At 37.7% G+C, this 26060-nt stretch overlaps 1 protein-coding gene and 1 long non-coding RNA gene across 14 annotated transcripts in view, besides 6 other annotated features; one reads left to right on the top strand and one right to left on the bottom strand.

Moving 5' to 3' along the window:
• The window catches only part of CEP152 (centrosomal protein 152), an 81987-nt gene extending 60844 nt beyond the window's left edge, over window positions 1-21143 (bottom strand). For 12 of the 13 annotated variants that reach the window (XR_931769.4, XM_047432254.1, XM_047432253.1 and 9 more), the window contains exons 1-8: window positions 21035-21143; window positions 15637-15730; window positions 8022-8125; window positions 7735-7804; window positions 7375-7653; window positions 6084-6234; window positions 3395-3535; window positions 1311-1450 (exon numbers count right to left, since the gene is read on the bottom strand). Coding sequence is in view for 12 of the 13 variants with exons in the window: in XM_047432254.1 (XP_047288210.1) it covers window positions 1311-1450; window positions 3395-3535; window positions 6084-6234; window positions 7375-7653; window positions 7735-7804; window positions 8022-8125; window positions 15637-15723 (972 nt within the window). In the remaining variant the exon portion in view is untranslated. Of the gene's footprint in view, window positions 1-1310; window positions 1451-3394; window positions 3536-6083; window positions 6235-7374; window positions 7654-7734; window positions 7805-8021; window positions 8126-15636; window positions 15731-20292; window positions 20669-21034 lie in introns of those variants that run through there. The other variant, XM_006720437.4, reaches the window with a different exon arrangement.
• Window positions 4907-5186: an enhancer, noted in NCBI's record as "active region_9377". NCBI's record gives its function as "activates an Ori minimal core promoter by ATAC-STARR-seq in GM12878 lymphoblastoid cells {active_cell/tissue: GM12878}" and the evidence as "EXISTENCE:reporter gene assay evidence [ECO:0000049][PMID:35858748]".
• Window positions 8303-8842: an enhancer, noted in NCBI's record as "OCT4-NANOG hESC enhancer chr15:49090426-49090965 (GRCh37/hg19 assembly coordinates)". NCBI's record gives its function as "activates a minimal SCP1, AML or CMV promoter by ChIP-STARR-seq in primed H9 embryonic stem cells {active_cell/tissue: H9 hESC(primed)}" and the evidence as "EXISTENCE:reporter gene assay evidence [ECO:0000049][PMID:30033119]".
• Window positions 17570-18070: an enhancer, noted in NCBI's record as "H3K4me1 hESC enhancer chr15:49099693-49100193 (GRCh37/hg19 assembly coordinates)". NCBI's record gives its function as "activates a minimal SCP1, AML or CMV promoter by ChIP-STARR-seq in naive H9 embryonic stem cells {active_cell/tissue: H9 hESC(naive)}" and the evidence as "EXISTENCE:reporter gene assay evidence [ECO:0000049][PMID:30033119]".
• Window positions 20293-20854: an enhancer, noted in NCBI's record as "H3K27ac hESC enhancer chr15:49102416-49102977 (GRCh37/hg19 assembly coordinates)". NCBI's record gives its function as "activates a minimal SCP1, AML or CMV promoter by ChIP-STARR-seq in primed H9 embryonic stem cells {active_cell/tissue: H9 hESC(primed)}" and the evidence as "EXISTENCE:reporter gene assay evidence [ECO:0000049][PMID:30033119]".
• LOC124903487 (uncharacterized) lies at window positions 20772-21983 on the top strand. The gene is made up of 2 exons (XR_007064626.1): window positions 20772-20881; window positions 21005-21983. It is a non-coding gene; the product is annotated as an uncharacterized LOC124903487 (long non-coding RNA).
• Window positions 21147-21337: a silencer, noted in NCBI's record as "fragment chr15:49103270-49103460 (GRCh37/hg19 assembly coordinates)". NCBI's record gives its function as "represses an EF-1alpha promoter that drives an FKBP-Casp9 reporter gene in an ReSE screen in HepG2 liver carcinoma cells and K562 erythroleukemia cells {active_cell/tissue: HepG2 | K562}" and the evidence as "EXISTENCE:reporter gene assay evidence [ECO:0000049][PMID:32094911]".
• Window positions 21513-21572: an enhancer, noted in NCBI's record as "active region_9378". NCBI's record gives its function as "activates an Ori minimal core promoter by ATAC-STARR-seq in GM12878 lymphoblastoid cells {active_cell/tissue: GM12878}" and the evidence as "EXISTENCE:reporter gene assay evidence [ECO:0000049][PMID:35858748]".

Here is a 26060-nt window from a genome sequence, read left to right on the forward strand (position 1 = left end):
TTTGTGGTCATCTGTTACAGCAGCAATAGGAAACTAATACACTTGGTGATTCTGCTGCTTACATAAAAAAGATTACAAAGTTATAACCTTTTACTACATAAAGGCAACTTAACTTTTTAATCTAATAACTATTGGTTTTCAAAAAGTTAAAAATAATCTACATTACATACAAAAATTAAAATTTCAAGAGAATTATTCTTCATTCTATTCCAGAGATTGCCTATTTATTCCAATACTGCTTTCATGGCTAAGAGATCCATCCACTGAATGACACAGATCATTTGTGCCAGGCAGGGTTCTAAGCACTAAGGACATAATGACCAAACAGAAAAGGTCTAAGCTCTTACTACTTTCTAGTGGGAAGAGACAATAAATAACAAGTAAACAAATGAGATCATTTCAGATAGTTATAGAGTAATAGAATATGGCATGATGAAGGTGAGTTGGAGGATGGAGCTATGGGCTACCTTACATATAAAGTGAATAGCAAGTCCTCTGAAAAGGTAATTGTTTTTAGCTAAGACCTGAAGGATGAGGAGAAGCCAGACATGAGACAACACTGTTTAAACTCTTTCATTAAACCATCCTCAGACTTAGCTACAAGTCTCACTCAAAACCAAGCTCATTATTTCATAGTCACTTTCATTTTTTTTTTCTTCAGACAAGTCTCGCTCTCGTCCCCCAGGCTGGAGTGCAATGGAGCAATCTCAGCTCACTGCAACCTCCGCCTCCTGGGTTCAAGCGATTCTGCTGTCTCAGCCTCCAGAGTAGCTGGGATTACAGGCATCTGCCACCACGCCCAGCTAATTTTTGTACTTTTTAATAGAGACGGGGTTTCACAATGTTGGCCAGGCTGGTCTCAAACTCCTGACCTCAGGTGATTCGACCGCCTCGGCTTCCCAAAGTGCTGGGATTACAGGCGTGAGCCACTGCATCCGGCCATCACTTTCATTTTTAACCCTGCCCCCTGCCAAAAAATGAATCAACCACCACCAGGCTTAGCTACCAATGACTTATGACTATTTCCAAAAATCAAATGGCTATCTCATTAATCAAAGAATGTGAATGTGTCACCACTTTAAACTCAAGTTTAAAAAACAGTTCTCCAAATGGAGAAGCAGCAGGAAAAATAAAAATAAAAGCTTCTCGGGATACCAATTCTGAAGCAAACTATTGCAGTCAGGAAATTTAAGTTCTAATGCTTTGTCAATAACTTCAAAGTTCTTCTAAATTTAGTCCTACCCTACAAAAAGTTTTGTTAAATAACTAAACTTTTAATTTTTTTACCATACATAAGTTAAAATAGGTACCTGTTCTTCATTGACTTTTAATGCTTGTATCTGAGTCTCCAGTGCTTTTATTTGAGCTTCAAGCTGTATCTCTCTTTCTTTTCCATTCTGAAAGAGTTTCTGTGATTCTCGAAGGCTGAGAGTCAAACCATCCTTTTCATCTACGGTATTAAAAATGTTTATATAAATAATGTTCCTGTAGAGGGACCCCAATGTCACAATCCCAATCAGATGTCACGTCTGTATCATATATAAATGTTGTTGAATTAAATTTAATTCAGAAAAATGAACTTTAGTTGATTTAGAGAAAACTAAATAAAGAATTTACTTACTTACTTATTTATTTATTTTGAGACAGCGTCTCACTCCGTCGCCCAGGCTGGAGTACAGTGGTATAATCTTGGCTCACTACAACCTCAGCCTCCCCAGTAGCTGGGATTACAGGCACCTGCCACCACTCCCAGATAATTTTTATATTTTTAGTAGAGATGGGGTTTCACTATATTGGCCAGGCTAGTCTCGAACTCCTAACCTCAAGTGATCCACCCACCTTGGCCTCCCAAAGTGCTGGGATTACAGGCGTGAGCCACCTCACCCAGCCCCAAATAAATAAATTATTAAAAATTAAAAATTAAAAAAAAAAACAAACCTGATACCAAAAAAATTTTTTTAGAGAAGCAGAACTACTTCCTTTAAAACTATTATTGCATCCCTTTTGGGGACAAATCCCTGCTAATCAAAGAAGTTATCTGAGGACTAATTATCCTACACATACTTGCAATGAACTCTTTTTTTTGAAACGGAGTTTCGCTCTGTCGCCAAGCTGGAGGGCAGAGGTGCAATCTCGGCTCACTGCAAGCTCCGCCTCCCAGGTTCACGCCATTCTCCTGCCTCAGCCTCCTGAGTAGCTGGGACTACTGGCGCCACCACACACCCAGCTAATTTTTTGTATTTTTAGTAGAGATGGGGTTTCACCATGTTAGCCAGGATGATCTCGATCTCCTGACCGCGTGACCCGCCCTCCTTGACCTCCCAAAGTGCCGGGATTACAGGAGTGAGCCACCGTGCCCGACCCACTTGGAATGAACTCTTAAATTCACCTAATGTTAAATTCTTCCCACATACTTTGCTATAACAGCTCACAAGTTCTTCTCTCAAAATAAATGTTATGAGCATTACAGAAAGAGACATTTTTACCATCAATTAAATTTGAAATGAGCTAGAGTTCAATCACAAAAGTATTCTGCAAATGAAAGTTCAACGTGGACCAAAACTAGAGAAAGCACAAGGAGTAAGCAATTATAATTTGAATCTGTATTTACTCTGTGTGTTTATCCCAGACATGGCACTTCACAATCACTAACTCTTATTTGGATTAAAACGTTTATGCTAATTTGTAGCCTCAGGAAACGCTGCAGTGCAAACTAAACACAAATCACTCTGAAAGCTGGAATACTTCATCCAGAGTAATGACATAAGGAATCAGACATAAGGAATCAACAACTTTTTAGGACAGAATGCCATCAGTACAGTTAAATAATGTTCAATGATTCTAAAAGCCTAAGTGAGAAAAGGGAAAATATAGGGACTCCAAAATAGAGTGTCTTTTTTTTTTTTTTGAGACAGAGTCTCACTCTGTCACCCAGCCTGAAGTGCAATGGCGCTTTCTCGGCTCACTGCAACCTCCGCCTGCAGGTTCAGGTGATTCTCCTTCTCCTGCTTCAGCCTCCCAAGTAGATGGGATTACAGGTGCCTGCCACTATGCCCCGCTAATTTTTGTATTTTTAGTAGAGACAGGGTTTCACCATGTTGGCCAGGCTGGTTTTGAACTCCTGATCTCAAGTGATCCGCCCACCTCAGCCTCCCAAAGTGCTGGGATTACAGGCGTAAGCCACCATGCCTGGTCTCCAAAACAGCGTGTTCCAAAGAGAAGTAATCCAAGGCCAACACTCAGAAATCCTGGGTTTTGTTTTGCTATGCCTCACTCACTATGAGCCCTCTGACCAAGTGTTTTTACTCTCTAAGCTTCGTATGTAATCTGAGGTTATTGGAAACAAGATATCTAACTCAGTGTACCTCATAAATGACAGCATCCAGCATCTTACCTTTTATTATTACAAGCTGGTGATTCAGATATCGAATTTGACGTTCACTTTCATTTAACTTTTCAATTAAGTTCTCCAGTTGTCTCTCTTTTGCTTTGTTAAGAACCTGAAGTTGAATAATCTGCATATTTTCTGCAGAGTCTGGGAATTAAAGACAATTTATTAGATAAAAACATACCAAAATATAAATTTATAGTCATTTAAAGCAGTGTTTTTCAAACTGTGACTACAACCTTTTAGAGCATCATGAAATCAATTCAGTGAATTGTGACTAGGATTAAAAAAGAGAGAGAGAATATATCAGAGTGCATCATGTAGTAAGAAACAGTCTTATTTTGTGAAACTTGTTTCATTTATATATACCTGTTCATATAGATACATGTTGTACACCATATCACAATGTAAAAAAATATAGTTCTTACAGTGGGTCACTGATAGGAAAGTTTGAAAGTCACTGGTTTAAGTTATAACCCTGAATCACTAACTACCATTTTAGCCAGTTAAAAATCAGTATATAACAACTGCAATGAAATAAAGTAATATGCTGTCAGAAAATTAAAAACAAAACAAGTACATCAGCTTCTATAAAATCATTTTTAAAGAAAATTTCTAGACAGCCTCAAAATATTTTATTTTAGGCAGGAGTGGGGAAAATATTATATTTATATTGATGCTGGCACATAACTGAATTAATTAGCTAGTGAATAGATTAATCAAGAATTTTGGGGAGGGAGCAGGGGAGAAGGGTTGAAAAACTATCCATTGGGTACTATGTTCACTATTTGGGTGATGGGTTCACTAGAAGTCAAACCCCAGCATTATTTAATATACCCATATAACAAACCTCCAAATCTACTCCACGAATACATAATTTAAAAAAAAATTTTTGAAGTCTTCTTTTAGAAACAATTAGTCATTTGGGGACCACTTTAAAAAGAGAAAAAAAATGGAAAAAAGGATTGGTAGGTATGCTTCAACTACATAATGATAAATATTCTACTTACTACTAGAACAATGTTTCTGTTAGCTTACAATCAGAAATAAATGCATTTACTGAGTTTTAACCACTTGCTAACTAAATAATTCTGTCCTCTTTTTAGAAAGAGATCTGGTTAAATAAAGAAAATTAAAGACTGAAAAGTTTATACAAGTCAAACTCCTCATAGGTCTTATAGTAGAGCTAGCCCCATCTCCAAATTTTTTAAATTACTGTTGCTAAGAAACTATAATCACTAATTTGGCACTACCATTAAGTTATTTAATTAACTTCCAAATGTCAAATTTAGACAAATGTGTAACTGACTCAACTTGAAGAAGTGCAGAGTGTTAAGAAAGGTAAGGAAAGGTTTTTATATGCAGAAAGACCAGGAGATACAAATACAACTTTTCAAGGGAACTGAAAGAGTAAACACTAAGGAGATGTCAGGCCACTGCTGTGAGGTTCATTTACTCAACCTAAAACCAGTTATGTCATATACACTGTCCACTTCCTCATTCCACAAAAAACTTAAGAACAAAGAGAGGCCATCCTCATATTTGCTGTTGACTCCTTCAGGGGAAAATGAATTCTGGGCCTCCCCCTGTAACTACCCTGCCGTCCCAGTGTACGATGGAAGCAACAATATGAAGTCACAACCCAAAAGTCCAGTTTTCTCTTTGGTATAGCCCAGGTAAGCCAGAATATCCAGTATGACCTTTCCCCTACTAATTAAAGGGAAACAAAAAGTAAAACAAAAACACTTGCTGCCACACTCTAGAATTACACTGGCTCTTCAATATGCACAATAATTAGAAGCTATTTAGTGTGCCAGACAGTATGACAAGAGTAATTCAGTACAGTCACTATACGGGTTTATATTTTGGGATTTTTGTTTTTTGATACTAGCATTTCATCTCAGAATTCTCTAGTACCTATAAGCACTTTTTTCATTCTCATATTTATATACATACTATACAAAAAAAACTGGCAAATGCCACATGACTGAACCTGATATCTAAGTAATTCTGAATATAAACTAATTTATATCAGAGTTGACTAAAAACTGTAAAATCAAAAGAAAAAAGTTGATGATAGTGCTGATGTATTAAATTACACTTCTATATAGTCAAAAATCTGAGATTGAAAACTATGTTTCATTTTCCAAATTAGGCTTCAGTCAAAAAAATATATAAAGTTCATAAAAAGTCTTTTAAAATTTTTTTAAATTTCAAATAAGTCCAGGTATCCTGTATGATAGGCGAGGATACTTAACACTATACAAATAAGGAGAAAAGGCTTAACAAACTAGAATGACTGAAATATAAAGTTGGAAAAATGTCTTTTAACTTTTCATTACGAAAAATTTCAAATATATAAGAAAGTAAAGAGAATAATATGATGAATCTCCACGAACCCATCTCCCAGATTCAACAATTATGAACTCATGGCCAATTTGGCCACATCTATATTCCCACCCAACATTACCCCTCAACAGCCTATTATTTTAAAGTAAATCCTAGACTTCATGTCAGTTTATTCATAAATACTCTAGTATATATCTCTAAAAATAAGGGCTCTTTGAAATATCAAGCACAATTCTATTGTCATACTTAAAAAATAATAATTCTTGAATGTGCTCAAATATTCATTGTGTATTCAAATTTCCCCAATTATGTGGTATTAAAAAATAAATATAAACTTGATACCTACTCTCATTAGCTCCTAAAAATTGTTGTTGCAGGCCTTCGAATGTGTCACTTCCTGTTATCTCCTGGGCTGGTGAGCCATTATTCTGGGCAGAAGACTGATAAGGTTTATATGTCACTTTATTATACGGTTCCAAACCTTGACAACTGGGACCCTGTGATAACAAATGAAACTGACAATTAAGATTTGGCCTTTTCTTCCAAAATTATCTGAATTAGACACCTAAATTAATGTTACGTTACAGAACTTACTTTTGGTACAGTTCAAAGTTGTTTATATATATACACACACACACACACACACACACACACACACACATATATATATCTGCTCAAAAGTAGCACGTATTGTTATTTAACACTATTAATTGAAAGTCTGCAATACATAATTTATAGACACCTAAATTCTACTTTTGAGCACACAATGAAGGCAATTTTATAAATAAAACCCAAGAATTCCAATAAGACTATATAGAAATATTTTATTACAAATGATTTAGATTATGCCAACATCTTGGGAATATAAAAATGCACATATCCAATAACATGAACATGGACCACGGTGCCTCATATCTAATAAATAGTAACTCTTATGGGATGAATAATAACATTCTACGGAGATAGAATTAAGAGAAAATAACCACTTAACAGCCTAAAAAATCCATCCTGTCATTGCGTGACACAGACTAGCTGTTGAGGTATTTGCTGTCATTGAGAAATTCTAAGAAGCAACTAACTATATCCTGAGGTCTTACTTCATTAAACTCCCCCCCAGGAAAAACAAGGTTTTTTGGTTTTTCCTTCACATTCATCCTGTCTACTGTTATATCACCATACAATAGAGATATCAGCTTTGACATGTTTAACCTAAAATTTGTTATGGGTGGTGAGCAAGAAAACTGAGGAAATTAAATGTTGCCACCTACACAGAATTACTGCTTTAAAAACTACAATAAGAGACCTGAACACAGCTTCTCATTGAAGCACAGTGCAGTGGTAGAAGCAGCAGTAAATGAGGATAGTTATTCTTTGGCAGACTTAACTTTTAATGTTTAATCAACTATGTCCAAAGAGCCTCTATTTTAAACTTCTGACTTAAGATCATGATTGTATTAGACTGTAAACAGAAAATACCATGACTAATTCACCATGAACCTGAATAAGTGCCCTCTCAGAACTTCGTGTGGTTAAATCATCTTACCATTGTACTCACATACATTTCCTGAACACACACAAACATCACGCAAATGCGTGTGCACACACACAAGTTCTTGAAAGTCAAGTTTTTACAATACCTGAAAATGGTTCCATTGAGGATCTGAAAATTTAATTACATTGGTTGCTTGGTTATTAAATTCCTGCTTCTGACCATTGGTATATGGCCTAAAGTTTTCAGGAAGGTGATATAAATCAGTCTGTTCACATTTACTTGGAGGACTATAACCACTTCCACCTTCATCTCCACCTTCTTCAGGATGGTACACAGGATGTCGGTCTTCAGTTTTACTTCTATTTTCTTCCCAGACATTACCACATTTTTCTCCAGCATATAAACTCTGAATTTCATTATAGCCCTATTAGATAACAAGAGTAAAACAAAAGCACGAAGATCCAGTCCCACCCTCACCAAAGTCATCATCACACCAGATACTTACATTTACACTTTGAGATTTGGGCAGCATTTGCTCATTCCAGCTCATCTCCAATTGCTCAGGATGATGTGGTCTCGAGAAAAAGGAATACTTTCGATTTAAAGCGTATCATTTATTTGTACATAGATAACACAAAGAACCCCAAGATTTTAACCTTTTTCCTTCCAATCTTCACCCAAAATTTTAAGAATCAATTTACAATTTTATAATCATGTAATTATTAATCTTCATCAAAAGAAAAAGACTTATAGAATTGCAATATACAAGTGAAAGTGACTTCAGGTGCTTACTGTCCGTCTGTGCCATCCTCGCTGCAGTCCGAATACTGGAGCTCTGGAGAGGAGAGGTCGTCATCCAGCATGTCATGGGGAAGGTCTGTGAGTAACTGCTGCAACTGAGTCAAAAGGTCTGCATCAATATCATACCAACTTAAACACAAGACACCAAGCCAAAGCTGCCTTGGAACGAGTGGTTTTTTACTGTAGAGGTCAAAGAAGTTCATAATTCCCTCCTTTAATTAACTTCTTAAGTTCCACACAAATTATATTCATCATTTCACTTGGGGAAAAGGGAATGCATAATTTTAGGATTTATATCAGAAGGCTTTTTTTTTTTTTAACGAAGATCTCAGATTTAAATACACATAGAGCAGAATTCAAAAACTTTTTTATGGAAACACAGCAAGTCACAATAATGGTACAATCAATGCATTATGTTATCACAGGGCAGGCAGACTAAGTCTCAGAATCCTGTTTTATCAGTAATCAGACCTTGGGGAATTGACAATTAGGCATCCCACAGGGAATGTGAGTAGCCAGATGCACTCTGGCCAGGTGATGAGAACAGCAGCAGCAGCAGGTGGCCTAGAAGCTCTTAAATGCTCTGATAATGTAGAAACCCGTGGGAGTCACTAATTAGTAGAGAGCCATCTAATTCCAAAGATGAAAAGATACATAATACCCTGCTCTCATACAACATCTGAGTAAAAGAAGAGTTGGAAGACTGTTTTCTATAGATAGCACATGCAAAAGCATGACACTACATCTGACATTAAATGTTTGATTTCTCTCTCCTATTATTTTCTAGAAAAAAATCAGTTTTAGCATTCTGCTTATTATATAAACTAGATAGACAAAATTAATTCATTCAAATTTCAAATGTGATAAAAAGATGAGTAAATAAGCTAGTCTGTTAGACATAATTCAATAACATTTAGGATTTCAATAACTGTCTGCTATTGTCTTTCTTCAAAACCCAATATAATAATATTACCCTAAAAATCCCAATATAATGTATTTCTTAAATTATGTAACAATTAGAAGATCAAATATTATGTTACTAAATACTTTTTAGGGAAACTGTTTCTAATTACTTCTCTTTAAGAAACTAAGCACCAGTTTAATTGACAGCTTGATTAAATCCCTCCAAAGGACATAAATCAAACCCCATAACATTGTGCAAGTGGATTTTAAAGACTTTAAATACTTTGTAAAACCTTTCAGGAAAAAAAAAATGAGATGCTCCCTGGTCTATAGCATTTTTTTTCCACTTTACCTGTCATTAGTACAAAAGAAATGGAATGTGTCCATAAAACATATCTGAGTATTATATTAAGAATTACCAAAAAAAAAAGTTTCTTAAACAAAATATGTATAGTAAAAGTTAAATAAATATATTTTATGGAAGGTCTGAAAGGAATGCCCCAAATTCTTAACTGAGCTTTGGTGAAATAAAATTTGGGAATGGGAACAGAGTATGTTGGAGGTGGGTGGGAATACTTCCTCACTCTATATTTATTTCTCATATTCACTGGATGGGTTTTTTTTAAAGGGTTTCTCAATCCATTTGTCATCTAAAGATGCAACAAGAGAAAGATATTTTCTTCAATGAAAAGTTATCTTCATCTTTAAATCTTTTAACGCTAACATTAACACACAAGACCCTCATTAAATGCTCATCTCCACATGCAAGGTACTTGAAAAATCATTTTGAGAATTAGCCATATCAGAGTTGACTGAGAGATATAAAAAACAAGAAATACAAAAGACACAACATGAAAAACAAAACAGAACACATCAACATATTTGTACAAGACATGCCTCAAATGAAAGGTAGCAAAGCAATTCTACAAAGACACAAATGCACTAGAGAAAAAAGTTGCATCTATGAGGTCTTTTAAAAGTAGCACCACTTGTTGTCTAGAATTATGCATCACTGCTTTAAGGAAAAAGACTACCCCCACATGTTACACAAGGAAAAATAAAACAAATCTTTTATACTTACATTAAGTAAAGACTCCTGAACAGAAAGAATATTTTCTTGTAAACCTTCAGTAAGGTTCAAGTACATAGCCTTAAAATTCAGGGGCGCCTTGACAGGGACATCTGAAGAGTACATTGTTTTCCCCGCACAAAAACAAAAAACTACATAATAATTCAGCAGTTATTGTAGCTTTGTGACACCACAAAATTGGCATCCACAGAGAAAAATTAATTTGAGTATAAGCAATCAGCTAATCAAAATGCTTCTGGATACATACATAAACATCAACTAGCAAAATCATCCCTATAGTATTCAGAGTCTTGCAAGATATTTTACATATATGCTAACATTTTAAAATTGATCTTCAAAAAATTTATCCATCAAGTTCTTTGGCATAGCTGGGTCATATTCCCTGGCTTCTGTAAGTTTCAGGGCAGAGAAAAGCTAAATGAAGTCCTCCTAAATAAGGCCATTCAGGAACAAAATTCCACCTCCAGTGTTTCCATTTCCCAGGATCAAAGTGTGCCCTCCTCATATACATTGTCAAATTGCCCTTTGGTCACTAACCTTGTGCAATAAAACACAAAATTGCCGTATCTAGATATGCATGTTACCAAATACAGAAATTTAGAAACTATAAATTTTCCTCATTAAAGATCTATCAAACTTCCAAATACAGATTCAAGAACAGAAATAACAATCCTTATAAGTGATAAGATTTAATACCACTCATTAATTTAAAATTCATCAGACTGCTTTTTGGCAGCAAGCAGCAATCTCAACAGGATATTACTGTGTATTAACCGAGTTTAAAAATTTAACAGATACCTTCCCTGTAAGAAAGATAATTTGCCACTCTAAGGCTTCAGTTGAAATAAATTCAGAATCATTCTATAAACTCCCCTCCTTTTCTACTTCATGTTTCTTTCTTAAAAAGAAAAAAAAAGAGAGCATTTTACTCAAAGAACTTTGTTAACAAAACACTTTGCAATAACCCATGTAGAACATACAAAAGCCTACATTCAGGGGCAAATGTAAAACAGAGAACATGTAAACCTTTTGTTAGGATTTTCAACTTAAATTAACTAAACAGATTATCTTCAGAGCCTATAATCCTCAATATTCATGAAGGCAAGAGGCCTCAAGTTACAAACCATACAATAATCTTCTCCCAAGAGAAAGGGTAGCAAATGGAATACCTAACGGTCATATTCCCTTTGAACAGGTGACCTCTTAGTACGCTTCTAAAAAGATTCTGATATTTTCAAATATGAATTATTAAATAATGCTTTCATGGATACACGCTAAATGTAAACAAATACTAGCTTTACAACTCCCTCTAGTGGAAACAAAATATCAAAATGCTTCCGCAATTACATCAAACAAGGCAGTTAAAAAGTGGAAGAAAGGCTATGCAATGGAAACCTTGCCTCTAAAATACATGATGCTGAGCTCAATGGAGCTTTATTATTCTATTAGAGAAGTACCACTATAAAAACCAAGTCAGTATTGCCAAGTGCAAGTTTCTATCTGCCACCTGCTACCTAAACCATCTACCTTTCTACTCAAGATCATTTTCAAATATGTCATCACTAAATGACCCGTCAACACTAAATGATCCATCATCAGCAAATATTATCTTGATATCATAGATTACCAAGTATTTCTGCCCCAAATCACCAGCTCCAGAATATATACACACATAAATAGATAATTTTACTATCTGGAACCAACAACAATCACAGAGCTACTTCTGGTGACACTGCAGAAAGTACATGTCTACTCCAGCTGACTGTGAGAGTCCAAAATGGCAATCTTGTTTAAGCTGTGGCTTTACCAACAACTGAGAGGCTTATAACAAGCATGCCTATTACAAAAAGACCTTTATCTGGGGCTGGGTGCAGTGGCTCACACCTGTAATCACAGCACTTTGGGAGGCCGAGGCAGTTGGATCACCTGAAGTCAGGAGTTCAAGACCAGCCTGGCCAACATGGCAAAACCCTGTCTCTACTAAAAATACAAAAAAAATTAGCCAGGCATGGTGGTGCATGCCTCTAATCCCAGCTACTTGGGAGGCTGAGGCAGGAGAATCGCTTGAACCCGGGAGGCAGCGTCAGCCAAGATCCCGTGATTGCACTCCAGCATGGGCAACAGAGCGAGACTCCATCTCAAAAAAAAAAAAAAAGAACTATATCTCTGTAATATCCAACTGTGCAATCACAAGTATAGAGACTTAGGTGAAAAGCATTTTTGCAAAGTCATATTGTTACATTATGAGTGAGTTAATACAAGAGCTTCTGAATTATTTTCTGGGACAGCTTTATAAAGAAAAGTTTGCTTTGGATGATATCTCCTTCTTAGCAAGAAGGACAAGTATTACCAGCAGCTCTCAAGTGGTACAATCAGAAAATAATGCCCTCCAGTTAGTTAGGAGAAACATAAGTAATGTGTGACAATTAATTGATATTAACTGACGATACATATCTCTATGATGTCATCACTCTCACTGATCTACACCCTAATCTGCTCTGTCGACTATTTTTAAGAGATGAGAGTTTCAGTTGAAACACTGTGAGAAGCTGTGGTTTATGTACCTCTCTACTATGCCTTTATGCCTTGACTCACAGTGGGCCAACTTTTACTAATGTACCATTAAGAGTTGTAGCACTTTAGAAATACATTATAGGACGTTTCTAAAAAATTCTTGCTTTTTTTTTTCCCAAAATATGGGTATATTTGTGATGGTCTCTGGCTTGAGATCCACTGGTCTAAATATCCTCTAAATATTGAATAAAGTATTTACTAAATCCTTTCCTTTTTCTGAATGTTAAAGGCACTTTCTCCCTTTGACCTTCAATACAAACAATGGAGAGAATAGAAATGGAAAAAGCAAAATCATAATTGTAAAGCTGCTCATTAGGATGGCATGAAGGTTGGAATGGTGTATTCATTGGGATATGGGCCCATGTGGACAAAATCCCAACTGGCACCAAAACAACAAAATTAAACACAGCTTGGAAAAACATGCTGTATTAGCAACTAGCCTTTCATCCCAGGCAGTGAAAATCAGGACTATCCAACCATGTACCAAGACAGGCTCTCACAAACCCTTAGCAGGGTAGACTATGAGTCAGATGTGGTATGCCTGGTAAGCCTTATAGCACATCATCAGGGATAAAGGCATTCCTCCCACATCAGCAACTTGAACACAAAGTGATTCACTAAGTAGAGAAAGCAATATGCATTAGCCCACTGCTAACAGTTATAACCTAGCCACAATCCCAAAGCCACAGTCCCAAAGCTACCAACCAGGTAGACAGGATAAAACAGCTTTTTTTCTTTAATCTCTTAAGGCTGTGAACCATTTGGCTATTGCTGGGTCAGGAAGACTGAGACAGTTAAAAAAAACCTTCTAGATATGCATTCAAGCTTGGGTTTGACCACCCAATTTATTACTTTAACTTGTAGTGACAAAGTATACATACAGCTGAAGATTTGTGAACAGTTCCGAAGTTTGTTACTAAAATTTGAACCTCTCTAGCCTCTCATCTCACTTTTTCCCTTGCAGCAATTATTTTTTAAAGTAAAAATATTTTTATTAACATGAAGTTTTTTACAAATTTAACCATAATCATCATGTTAGAGTCAATTCAGCTATATATCCTTCCACTCTGCTAGAAATACTCATTCTTAGATACTTGATCTTTCAAGAACAACTTTTCCCCTGAAATTCCCTATCCCAGCATACAATCTATCAAAGAGGTGATCCCAAATAGCTGTTTTCTATATTATCTAGAATTAATTGCCTCCTTAACTAGTATCCCCTCTAAAATTTTAACCACACAATACACTGGCAGACCTATCTCTCTAATATATTTCTCAATGAAAAATCACCTGTCAAAATATTTTTTCTTCTTTACAGTAGTGATTATTTAAACTGACCTTCTCAAGAATCCCAGTGGCTAAACCCCAGCCAACTATCCAAGCCCAGTCATGAATACCTCATGCTGCAGGTTCAAAGTAACAGAAAATCCTCATTCCCATCCTTGCCACAATTGTTGTGAGGGGCCCTGCCAAAATCCGGAAACCCTCACCAGGGTCATAAACTCAAATGCCCTCAGGGCCCTGGCAGAGAATTTACCAGAGTGAAGCAGGCAGGTCTGAGTGCATAAGCCCATGTCTGTGTGAGAAGTGGGGACTGTGGCCAGCTGGGGAAGGAGAGCCACTGCTCAGTTCCAGCCCGCCTGCTGCCATGTGCAAATACAGGCCAGGTGTGGCCAGGGCTTTGGATGTTTTTTAGATAAGCCAGAGACTCTGCAGTGCTGCATAAAATTTTCCCATCTTCAAATACAGATTCAATTTTTTAAAAGCACTCTGCAACCAACAATACCTGTCTGAACCAAATCCAGCAAGTTGCCAGTTTTCTATCACTGCCTTAATTCTACCACCAGCCACATGAGCAATGGTCAACTGACCCTATTCCTTGCTTCCTGTTAATACTCATGGTCCACAATAACTATTAAAAAAGACTTTTTTACATGTTAGAAAATGGGTCATATAAAAAATAGCGTCAGGACAAAAGAAGCCTTTTATCACAGACAATCAAGAAATTTGACTTACACTAAAAACAACCAAAACAACTAAATTGACTTCCACCAATAACACTATTACTGCTGCTATTACTATTGCCACCATTTACTGAACATTTGCTATGTGCCAAGAATTCTGCTAAACACTTTACATATAAATAATATGGTCTCTCCCTTTTATTCCTTTCCTTCTATAATCTATTCACCATGCAGCCTTCTGAAAGATCTTCAAAAATATGATATCAATTTTCCCTGCTTAAAATCCTCCACTGGCTTCCCATTGTTCTTAGAATAAAATACAAACACCTTATCATGGCTTTCCATGATCTGACACCCACATCCACCACCCAACACTGGCTCATATATACCCAATACCATGGCCTTCTGGCCGCTCCACATGATCTGTGGCATACACGGGGTCTCTTCCCAACTTCCCAGCTTACACTCATTGGTGTTTTGGCGTAGACTGCTCTTCCTCAGGCTTCTGCATGGCTGGTTCCTTCTCATGAGTCAAGTCTCAGCTCATATATTGCCTCCTCCCACAGACCCTCCCTCACCACCCCATCTACAGCAATCCCCTATCAATTGCTTTCATAGCACTCCAATTTGTTTCCCTGTCATTTATCAATGATAAATTATCACTCACTCAAATTACTTTACTCACTTGTTTACTTGTTTATTGTCTGCCTCCACTAGGATGTAAACTACCCAAAGCAAAGAGCCTTGTCAGACTTGTTCATGGCAATGTTTCAAGCACCTAGAAACTAACCTTCCACTTCCAAAGCCAACCATTACCTCCTAAATGAAAAGAAAAATTTAACCATTTATCTGATGGTATTATTCACAGTTGTGTTTTATTCCTGTCTCAAAAACAGAAGCATTCCACTTATTCACCTTTTCAGTCTAAATAGCAAGCAGATTTTAGGGTTGTTTTTTTTTTAAAAAATCCAAATCCCTTCAAAATGACACAAGATGATACAATTTTGATCAAGAAATAAAACTTGTTAAAGATTGGGTTTAGTGTCTCTTTTTTTTTTTTTTTTTAACAACTTACCTCTTTCTCTCTTTCATAGTCCTCTTCGTCATACTCTTCATCTTCATTTTGCACTGGTAGTGCCACACTGCCAAAGTCTAATGACATGGTCCTCCTGTGGGAAGGGAAAGATGTTTGGTTTCTGGACACCACATAAAATCTCCCCAGGACAAACTACATAAGAGATGCCATACATACACAAAGTGAAAAGACAGAAACAGACTGGGAGAAAATATGTATAACTCAGTTATGGCCAATAAAAATAATGGTGATTCACCGAAAATAGCTATATGACAGCAATTCATGGAAAAGAAAACATGCAAATAGGTAATAAAGCTATGAATAGACCTTTCTAGTGGTCTGAAGAGTATAAAACAGTAAGATTTTTGCCGACATGAAAAATAAGATGACAATAATAATAAACTAGAAATGTGCCAAATGTAAAAATCTTAAGCTCAAACAAAACTTCAAATGTGATATATTAAACATGGCACAGGCAGTACCCTATTGCTTCATTTTTTTTTAATATCAGAAATCCAAATATCATGCTTTACAAGAAGAAGGCCCCTAAATCATGAGTGAATGACTACTACCCAGAAACCATTTACAATTCAGTCAATGCCATAGAGTGCACAACAAAATATAAGTCTTAAATGTCCTCCTCTTAAGCTTGATAAAATCAGGTTCTGGCAATATACTCGGGAAAAACAGAAGTGAAGGCTGTGAAGCTCCACCACTGTGGACTTCCAATTCCAAAAGCAACAGCAAGAGTTCCCTGGGGAGCAGTGACTGCTGCGGCAGAAGCAGCAGCAGGAAATGGGTTTTCAACTACTTACATTCAAAAAAGCTGCTGCTGATTTAACTTGTACTTAGGGATCCTGACACTATACATAAACTCCTCAGAACTTCAAAGCTCTGAACAATCACAACAAAAAAGTAGGCAGGTGTCATCAATTACCTGGCCTAACACTGCCCTCCATTCAGTCCACTGTTGTTCATGCCAATGAAACGCACTTGGATGTGAGCCTGAGCCACAACTCATTCACTACACCTTTCAAGCTCTAAAATGTCATTAAATTGGAAGTAAAATCAGAAGCATGGAGACCCAGCAATCCAAATGCATTTTACCATAGAGAACTTAGCTCCCTCGTCTTAACAGATACGAACTATATCACAAACTTTTGTGGAAGCCAATAGCTCTAGAGCAGACAATATCCCATTTCATCAGATCTAAGATGTCTTTGATTCTATGATGCAGTTCCATTTGTAGCAGTAGGAACGAGATGTAGCCAATCAAATTATGACATAACATTAATTTTAGGACGCAGTCTATGTTGTAGATATTAAAGTGTGAAAAGAAAATATGCAAGCTAGAATAGATGAATATGGTATTAAAGATTAACATACATATGAACTTCAGTGGTAAAAATCCCCCTATGACAAGTTTTTGTTTTTCAAAGACTGAGTTATGTTTCTTGGCCAACCTCTAATTTGCAGTCTACCTTCTAATCCCTTCCTCTCTGGTCCCTACACCCAACCCGTCCCTTTAAACTCATATCAACTCAGACTATACCTCAACTTAAAACCCTCCAGCCTCTGCTTCTCAGACCACACCTATTCCTTTCTACCCTTGTGACAGGGCTAAACGGGGGAAGAGACATGCATATCGAGGAAAATAAATCTATCTATAAGAATCCTTTTGTATGTCAACATAAGATGAAGATATGAATATGATAAAAAGCCTGTAACATGAAATGGTGAGGGAAAAACACACAATCTCATGTCTCTAGATTTTTTTCCACTATGCAAATAGACTTAATATTCTACAGAACACTATATATATTGAAAATACTAGCCCAATTAAATCCTATGTCCTTAAAAGAGATGCCTGTAGTCCCAGCTACTCGGGAGGCTGAGGAAGGAGAAGGGCGTGAACCCGGGAAGCGGAGCTTGCAGTGAGCCGAGATTGCGCCACTGCAGTCCGCAGTCCGGCCTGGGCGACAGAGCGAGACTCCGTCTCAAAAAAAAAAAAAAAAAAGAGATGAAATTAAGCTGGACCTTAAAGAAATTCCTGAATCCTCCAGGCAGAAAAAATCCTTTCTGTTTCTGAATTCTGTGTCTTCTACCTTTCTTTCATTCAAATATAAATACAAGACGAAATATGGAATTTGGGTTACTTTCTCCTTCATTAAGTTAGAGAAGAGAGGTTTGTTCCCATCCTTTATTAACCTGCCATCAACTGATGTTGATTATTGAAAAAGAACATTAAGATTTATAAGAGCCTATTGCTAAAAATGTAGCTACTAATATTTTAAATAGACAGCTACTTTTTCTCAGATAGAGAATACTTAGGGTTTTGTTTTTAAAGAGAATGTAAAATATCAAAGTATATATCTTTAATGTTATTTTAAATTCAAAACATGTCATTAAAGAAGACATCTAAAAATACCTGAAAAGACCAAAATCTCCCCCACTGAAGAAGGTATAAGTTTTCCTTATCAGAACTATAAACTATAAAAGACTTTAAGAAATGATTTCAGACATAAAGGGAAACCTGATCAACTTAATGTGGTTAAAAATATATATAGTAAAAAGGTAATACATATTTTAAATGAGACTTAAAATAAAAGCTAATACCTTAACTTATTAATCACCACTCATTATCACTGCTACCAGAGACTTTAGTATAATATTCAGAACAACAAAAGAGACTTCTTTAAAAAAAAAAAATAGCAAGATAGTAAATCCAAAAGCCATAAAGAAAAATGTGATGGAAACCTAACCACAAAAAATAAAATTTTGTTTAAGGCAAAAGACATCATTAACGAGTCAAATATTATATATGAAAAAATACATCAATAACAAAGTCAAGAAAAATAAGAATAAAAAAAATTTGCAAAGCACCTGACAAAGTCCCAATATAAAATTATTACAAAGAAATGAGAAAAAGACAATCCAATATAAAATTGGGCGACTGACATGACAATTTATTTTAAAAAGTGTAAATCAATTAGTTTGAAAAGATGCTTAAGCTCGTGATGTTTCAAAGAAGTGTCATTTAAACAATATGCCATTTTCAACCACTAGATTGAAAAAACAAACAAACAAAAAAAAAACTTGTTATCACCCAGTGGTGACTATTTTGTATTTTGTATGGCTCATGAGTTGCTGGTGAAAATATCAACTGCTAAACCATCTTGAAAACTATCAATATTAATATATTGAAAATTAACATTTACACTAGTAAAATTATTTTGAATTAATTTGTCAATACTATGCCACTAGTAAAAATACTGAAAATTTTCTATATCTATTGACTCAAGGCTGACCACTTGAGAAATCAAGATGCAGATTAAGTATACAGTATGTTTTGGTTTTCTTCTTCAATAGCAGTCTGGTAGACTTTCTTCCTAGATAACTTTTTCTGAACCCTTAACAAGACTATAAAAAGTATGTCTTGTTGTTACACTCAGATGGATGCTCTGACCCAGCATTCCTTTTGTTGTCCCCGGTTGTTTTCTCTGCCCTCCTTGCAACAAAAGCAATGGGTATTTGGACAAAAGATTACAAAGCAAAAGTAGCATTGTTTTTGCTTCATCTAATAAACTATAAGCACCCTGAAGGCAGAATTAAAATGTATCTGCCTGCTTGCACATGGTGGGTACATAACAAATATTTGTTGACTGAATATGATATAGGCATGTTACCTTATACGAATTCATTACTTCAATAAAATTTTATTGAATACCCACTGTGTTCCAGATCATATCCTAGATGCACCTAAGACATGGTACCAGCCATGAGGAGCTCACTGTCTCTGCTCACCCTCTCTTAGATAGAGCCACTGATATAAACAGTTACAATAACATATTGTAATAAATTCCGTAGTAGATGAAAGTACAAAGCACAAATTACTTTTCCTAAGAAGAAAGGATAGTTTAGAGAAGTTTTACAGAAAAAAAAGAGCTTTTAGATTAGAAATAAATCTTAAAGGACACAATATGGCTATAAGTGGTTCTAAGAATGAGGGCACTCATTCAGACAACCTGGGCTCAATTCTGGCTCTTCTATTTATCAGCAGTGCAATCTTGAGCAAACTGTTTCTGCTTCTACGTTAAAGAAATGGGGGTAAAAATAATACCTACTTCAAAGATTGATTCTGAGGATTCACAAGATACTACATGTAAAGTAATTAGCACTATGTACCAATCAATACATTGTAGTTTTATTACTATTATGACATTATTACTGATGAATAGGAGTCTGCCAGCTACCGAAGAGGTTTAGGGAATAAAGAGGATTCCGCATATCTGAGAAAAGGTGAATGTGCAGCCTATGAGAAATGTCACTTCTAATAATGCAACCTCCTATGGAACAAAAATGCCACCCTCCTTCAAGATGCCCTCCCAAGCCTGTTCCCCCATGGAGCTGGCCACTCCTTTGCACTTTCAGACTGTATTTCTTATGCTTTTCTTATGGCTTCAACTTCAGCTTCTCTTTAGTTGAGTGCATTCACCTGTCTAGGGAGTGCATGTTCATTGTCACGCACTATGAAGGTATAAGGTGATAATAGGCTTAAATCAGACTCAAGTTCATGACTACGATATAGGAAGGGTTATAAACCCCCACAAAAGGGGTTTCTAAGAACTGCACTTGGAGTTGGGAAATTCTACTTACTTGCTGACATAACTCGCCTTCTAGAATGGAAATAGCCAGAGCACATAGCCCGGTTTAGACTTGCAACACCTGGTGGAGACACCTTATTCATTCATTCGACAATTTACCAAGCACTGTTCAAGATTACAAAGTTTAACAGGACACGATGAAGGGAAAGAAAATAGACATATAAACAAATGATCACAACATCTTGTGATCAGTGCTAATAACAGCACTTTGGACAAATTGATTCAAGTTGCCCAGAGGGCGGAGCGAGTAATGCTAATACACAATAAGCATCCACAGGCTGAGCGAATGACCTTGAGGAACTGTTTGGCGTCAGCTACGGCACTACAAACATGACCAAAGCCGCACGGGGCCCAGGATGCCCGGGGCTACTGGCTTCGGGTGCCAGCGTCACTTGTACTCGGTCAACACACGTGCACAGAGCACCTACTGTGAGCCAGGCGTGACGCCAGGGTGACCAAGGCGGGGTCCGCAGAGTAGGGTCTCAGGGCGACCCCAGCAGCCTGGAAACGAGGCGGGCTTCCCATATGTCACTTCTAAGTAGGATATTGGAGGAATGAAGAGGTCTAAATGACACGTTAAGGTAAAAGCTGAGCCCGCAACATGCGGGCAGTCCACCACCGCGGGATTTGGGGAGGGGGCAGGTCAGCCCCCCCAGGAACCCTCAGCCAGCATCCCGAGGACCCCGCAACTCCTCTAACCCCAGGTCCAAGCTCACCCGTGAATCAGAACTTACCGGAGGCCACGGAGGCTGTTACCGCGAGGAAACTCTAGTCCTGGCGGAAGACCAACTTCTAGCAGATCCCCTTACCCTGGCTCTAGTCCACTAGCTCCTTCCTAGTCACAACCGAACTCACGGGGCGGAGGCCCTTAAGGAGCACTCGCATCCTTCAATCGCCGACTAGAAGCTCGCCCGGTGGGCGGAGCCGTGCCAGCTCAGGGCAGAGCGAGGAGGCAGAAGTCTCCGCCTTCCTCAAGCTTGGTTGAGAAGTCCACCTGCAGTTGCAAAGTACGGCTGTTTGAAAGCGGGCGCCAGAGGTGGCGGGAAGCTCCCCCTGTGCGCCCATTGGTGGATTCGAGAGCCAATTACGAGGAAGTCACCCCGGAGTGGGCGGGCTGATCGGTTGCCTAGAGACGCCGAGGCGCTTCACCCGCTACCTTCGGCCAGGGTGCAGCAGTCTTACGGGGACCCCTTGCCCGTTTGGTACCGGAGACTGCAAAGGTGACTCGTGCCTCCTGCGCTTCAGCACACAGAATCCCGCAGATTCCCCACCGAACTCTTGCCTTAGAGGTTTTTTACATTTGCCCTTGTTTTCTAAGGCGCCTGCTTCCCCATTATTTAACAGCCTTAGATATTTTGCTTTGTCTTCTACCTTACTAGGTGCCGCTTTGTTTACATTTTTGCTTCTTTAATTACTGATAAGATGGCACATTTTTCCACGTGTCTATTTACTACTCTAATTTCCTCGGGTGTGAGTGTTCTTGTCACTTAGGTGTATATTATTAACCTGCCCCTAAAGACAGCGCCACCCAGTCCTCAGTAAAGCCCAGTACTGTGTCTATCTTCTCTGGCTGAAAGGGTTCCAGTGAATAATCAAGGAATTGGTGGCGGCAGGTTCACATATCCTTTCAACCCTTTCCCATGTGTACTGGCACGGAGTAAAATGGTTGTTCGAGGCTCTTCATACTGTGGCTGGTTTTCCTTTGCTACTTCACCGTCCGCCCCCATGATGCCTACACTGACCCCTGTAACCCCATAAACTGGTATAGGGTTTGGCAAACAACAGGTAATTTAACCCACTGTAATAGAATGAACGAAATCACAGCCTGAGCTAACAATGGTTCCCAGAGCGCTTTTTTTCTTTCACCTGCTGTGAAAGCTGTTTCTTTCACCTGCATCGCCTCTACCTTCTCCTGCTACTTAGTTTTGAAGACAGACTAGCACCTCCTTTGAAGCCTTTCATGACACACACTCCCTCACTTCGCAAAAATGATCTTTCCTACCTCTGTACACAGTGTATCCTATATATCCTATTATAGTTCTTTTATCTACTGTAAGTTTTTGTGTGTCTTACACTCAGTACAACGTGAATATCTTGAAGTACTCACTTTACTTCTTGGGTGTCTAACATGACCCTGGTAGGCACTCAAAACAATTATGTTAAATGAGTAAATGAATAAATGAACAAATAGATGAAGATTTTGGCAGGGGGGCAGGCAGAAAAAGCAAATAAAAGGCCTTCAAGTAAATGGCATTTGTTGAATCTGAGCCAAGGCATCTTAGTGAGAATTAAATGCACTTTTCACTTTTCACATCCCACTGAAGTCGATTGGCAAACTGTATGTTGCATTCTGTGCTGAGGGTTATGATGGAGTGCTGCAGCAAGAATGCCAGGTGATCCCCATGCACAAACAACTGCTTCTTAGAAGGATGAAAGCATAAAACGTGTCAGGGTAAGCACATGAGGAGGCAGTGTTTATAATCCATTACACAGTGCTTTACAGATTGGTAAATTCTTTCACAAGCATCATCTCATTTGGTTCTCACTACAACACTGTGGGGGGTTAGGACAGGTATTCCTACCCATTTTCCAGTTGAAGAAACTTACATAAAAATAAATTAAATGACTTGTCCAAGGCTACACAGCTAATACAAGGCAGACAGAATCTGAAACCAGGTCCTTTATCTCCAAACCCAGAGCTCATCACTACATACAAAATATTTTAGTGAGACTAGCATATACGTGACAAAGAGGGAAAATAAAGAATAAATCAACCTCCCATCCTGCCATGCCTCTAAAAATGGTTTTTGGTGGAGTTATGGATATATTCAACTAAATTTCTTTGACCACCTATCCTGTTTAAGTCCTGGCCTAGGTGCAGGGTAGGACCCCTATGCTCAAGGTACCAACACTCTGAGTTACAAGATGCTTACGTAGAAAGATAAATAATAATAAAAATTGTTTACTAAGTGTAATAAGAGTAGAATAGGCAATAATTCTAGGGAAAGTGAACACCTAAAGATGAATCTATCAAGGCAGGTTCAAGGAAGAAGAGAAGGAGAGAGCTCAACAGGTCAGTTGATTAGCATGAGTGCAATTTAAAGGCCAGACCAGCAAAAGTGCAGGAATCTTACATTTAGATGTAAGTCTGGAGAAGAAGGCAGGAAGGAGGTGGTCCATAGAAGAGCTTTAAGCCTGGGAGAATAGGAAGGGCATTCTACAGAGGTCAGGTAATGGTGTGCACAAGGAATGAATCTAACATCCAAAGAAACACAAGCAGACAGAGGCATTCTGGGATAAGAAAGGCAAGTGTGGGAGAAGAAAGTAAAACTGCCAAAGATCTCAAATGCTGGACAAAAGATTATTTGTGAAACGTTGGCTCGATGTTTACCTTGCATGTTTTAAATGGGCACACCTATGAGCTGGGTGAGACATTTCAAGAGAAAATGTCACATTGTTGATGAGATGGGGTCCCTCCCACTAACAAGCATTTATAAAGGTAAAGCTAAACCATTATTTCTCCTTTTTCCTCCTTTTTGGTGTCAAAGCTATCAGGTCAAAGCAATGTCATCACAGGAGTGCTATCCAAAGTGCTATCATCAAGGAGTACTATCTTCAAAGGAACACAGAACTTAGAGTAAGAAGATCTGAGTTCAAGTCCCAGTTCTCCTACCTACTAGCATTGTCCATAACAATTTAACACTCAAAAGCCTCAAAGTCCTTATCTGAAAATAGGGATGATAATACCCACTTCTCAGGATTGTGGCCAAAAAAAAATGAGATGAGATTGTGAGAAACAGCTTTTAAATGTAAAAACATTATTTTCCATTGTGTTTCTATGTACTATGGCTTATTGGATTAGAGTACACACTGGGGTCTGAGGTAGTAAGGAAAAACCAGGAAGGTGTTCTGGGAGTGGATGGCAGAGAAAGACAAGGGTGAATGTGTGCCGAGGGCAACAGGAGCTTATGGGATGGGACAAACAAAGAGTCTACACAAAGGATATGGCTTCATGAGAACAGGACAAAAATAGGAAGTGCTAGAGATGGAACAGGAGTACTTGGAAAGAACCAAGGAAGATCAGACCATTATTTACATCTTATTCAACAGTATTTTGGGAACACCTACTTTGTGCCAAACACTGTGCTGGGATCATTTAATATTGACATGTGGATCAAAATGCCCACTCTGCTCAAGTCCCTTCTCACAGAATCTGCTCCTGCTCACAGTCATTATGACCTCACCACCATCACCATCCTACCACCCACGGTCCTGGCCAGACTTGACTGAATCAAAGGGGAACACTAGACCCAAGCTGGGCCAATCGTATTCCCTTCCCAGATAACTAAGATTCCACAAAACTGAGCAAGGTGGTAGCCATACAGAGGAGAAGCAGACTTTTATTACACTTGCCTGTATTTTATGGGAAATATGCTTCCTCCATAACTGTGTCATATACATGGTAGACCCTAGACTGAAGATCATGAACTTTTGCCACTGAAAGCCATGTATCTGTCTGGTTCCTGTACTTTGAAAAGCCAGACAGTTTAGCTTTTCCTTGCATTCTGTGATAACTAAACCTTAAAAACTTTTTGACTTGAGCTGGCTTGGGTCATTGTAGAGGTTGAATCATGTTCCCTAAAATTTCATGTCCACCTAGAACTTCAGAATGTGACTTTATTTGGAAATATGGTTTTTGCTGATACAATTGTTTAATATGAGCTCATTCGGGATTAAACTTAGGTAAAGCTAAACCATCATTTCTCCCTTTTCCTCTTTTTTGGTGTCAAAGCTATCAGGTTAAAGCAATGTCATCACAGAAGTGCTATGCAAAGTGCTATCAGCCTTAAGTCTAATGACTGGTGTCTTCATAAGAAGAGAGGACACAAAGAGACACATAGGGAGAAGACAGCCATGTGAGGGTAAAGGTGGTGATTGGGGTTAGATTGCCATAGGCCAAGGAACGTCTGGGGCCACCAGATGCTGGAAGAGACAAGAAAGGATTTTTCCCTAGAGCCTTTGGAGGGAGCATGGCCCTACCACATCTTGATTTCAGACTTCTATCTTCCAGAACTGTGAGAGAATAAACTTCTGTTGTTTGCGGTATTGGTTACAGTAGCCCTAAGAAGTTAATAAAGGTAGGTTTACATTCTTGGCAACCAAACATTCATGACTAAGATACATTTTTAGTGATTATATTTGAAAAGTCTAGACCAGTGATACTCCAAATAGGGCCATGGTCCACTGGTATACCTCATTTGTATTAAATGATACAAATGCCCAAGGCATTTCTTCAATTATCATAGGAAAATAATTTGTAGATTTTTATTTTTACATACAATTAGAAATCCACCAAGTAAGATATAGGAAGTTACTAATGTTAAGAATTTGTAAATTAAAATGAGTGCATTTTTCGGGTTTATCAAGAATGATCATCATTTGGATGTGCAATATTACAAAGCTCTTGCTCATGCACAGTTGAAGGTAATTGGAATTCCCAGTTTTGGAAGGAGGATGTTAATAGCACCATTCCCCCAGGAAGTCATGGTCTTTACGAGCTGTTATTACTGTTTATTTATTAACTATGTTTGGCTTCATCAATATCAAGTAAGCTTATTGTGAGTTGTTTGATTAAACCAACTCTATGTAGTGTTAACTACTTTAAATATTTTCACTTTTTCTATAGCGACTTTAAAATAATATACATTTGGGTGGGGCGCCATGGCTCATGTCTGTAATCCCAGCACTTTGGGAGGCTAA

Source organism: Homo sapiens, chromosome 15 (assembly GCF_000001405.40).
Source record: "Homo sapiens chromosome 15, GRCh38.p14 Primary Assembly".
Classification (NCBI taxonomy): domain Eukaryota; kingdom Metazoa; phylum Chordata; class Mammalia; order Primates; family Hominidae; genus Homo; species Homo sapiens.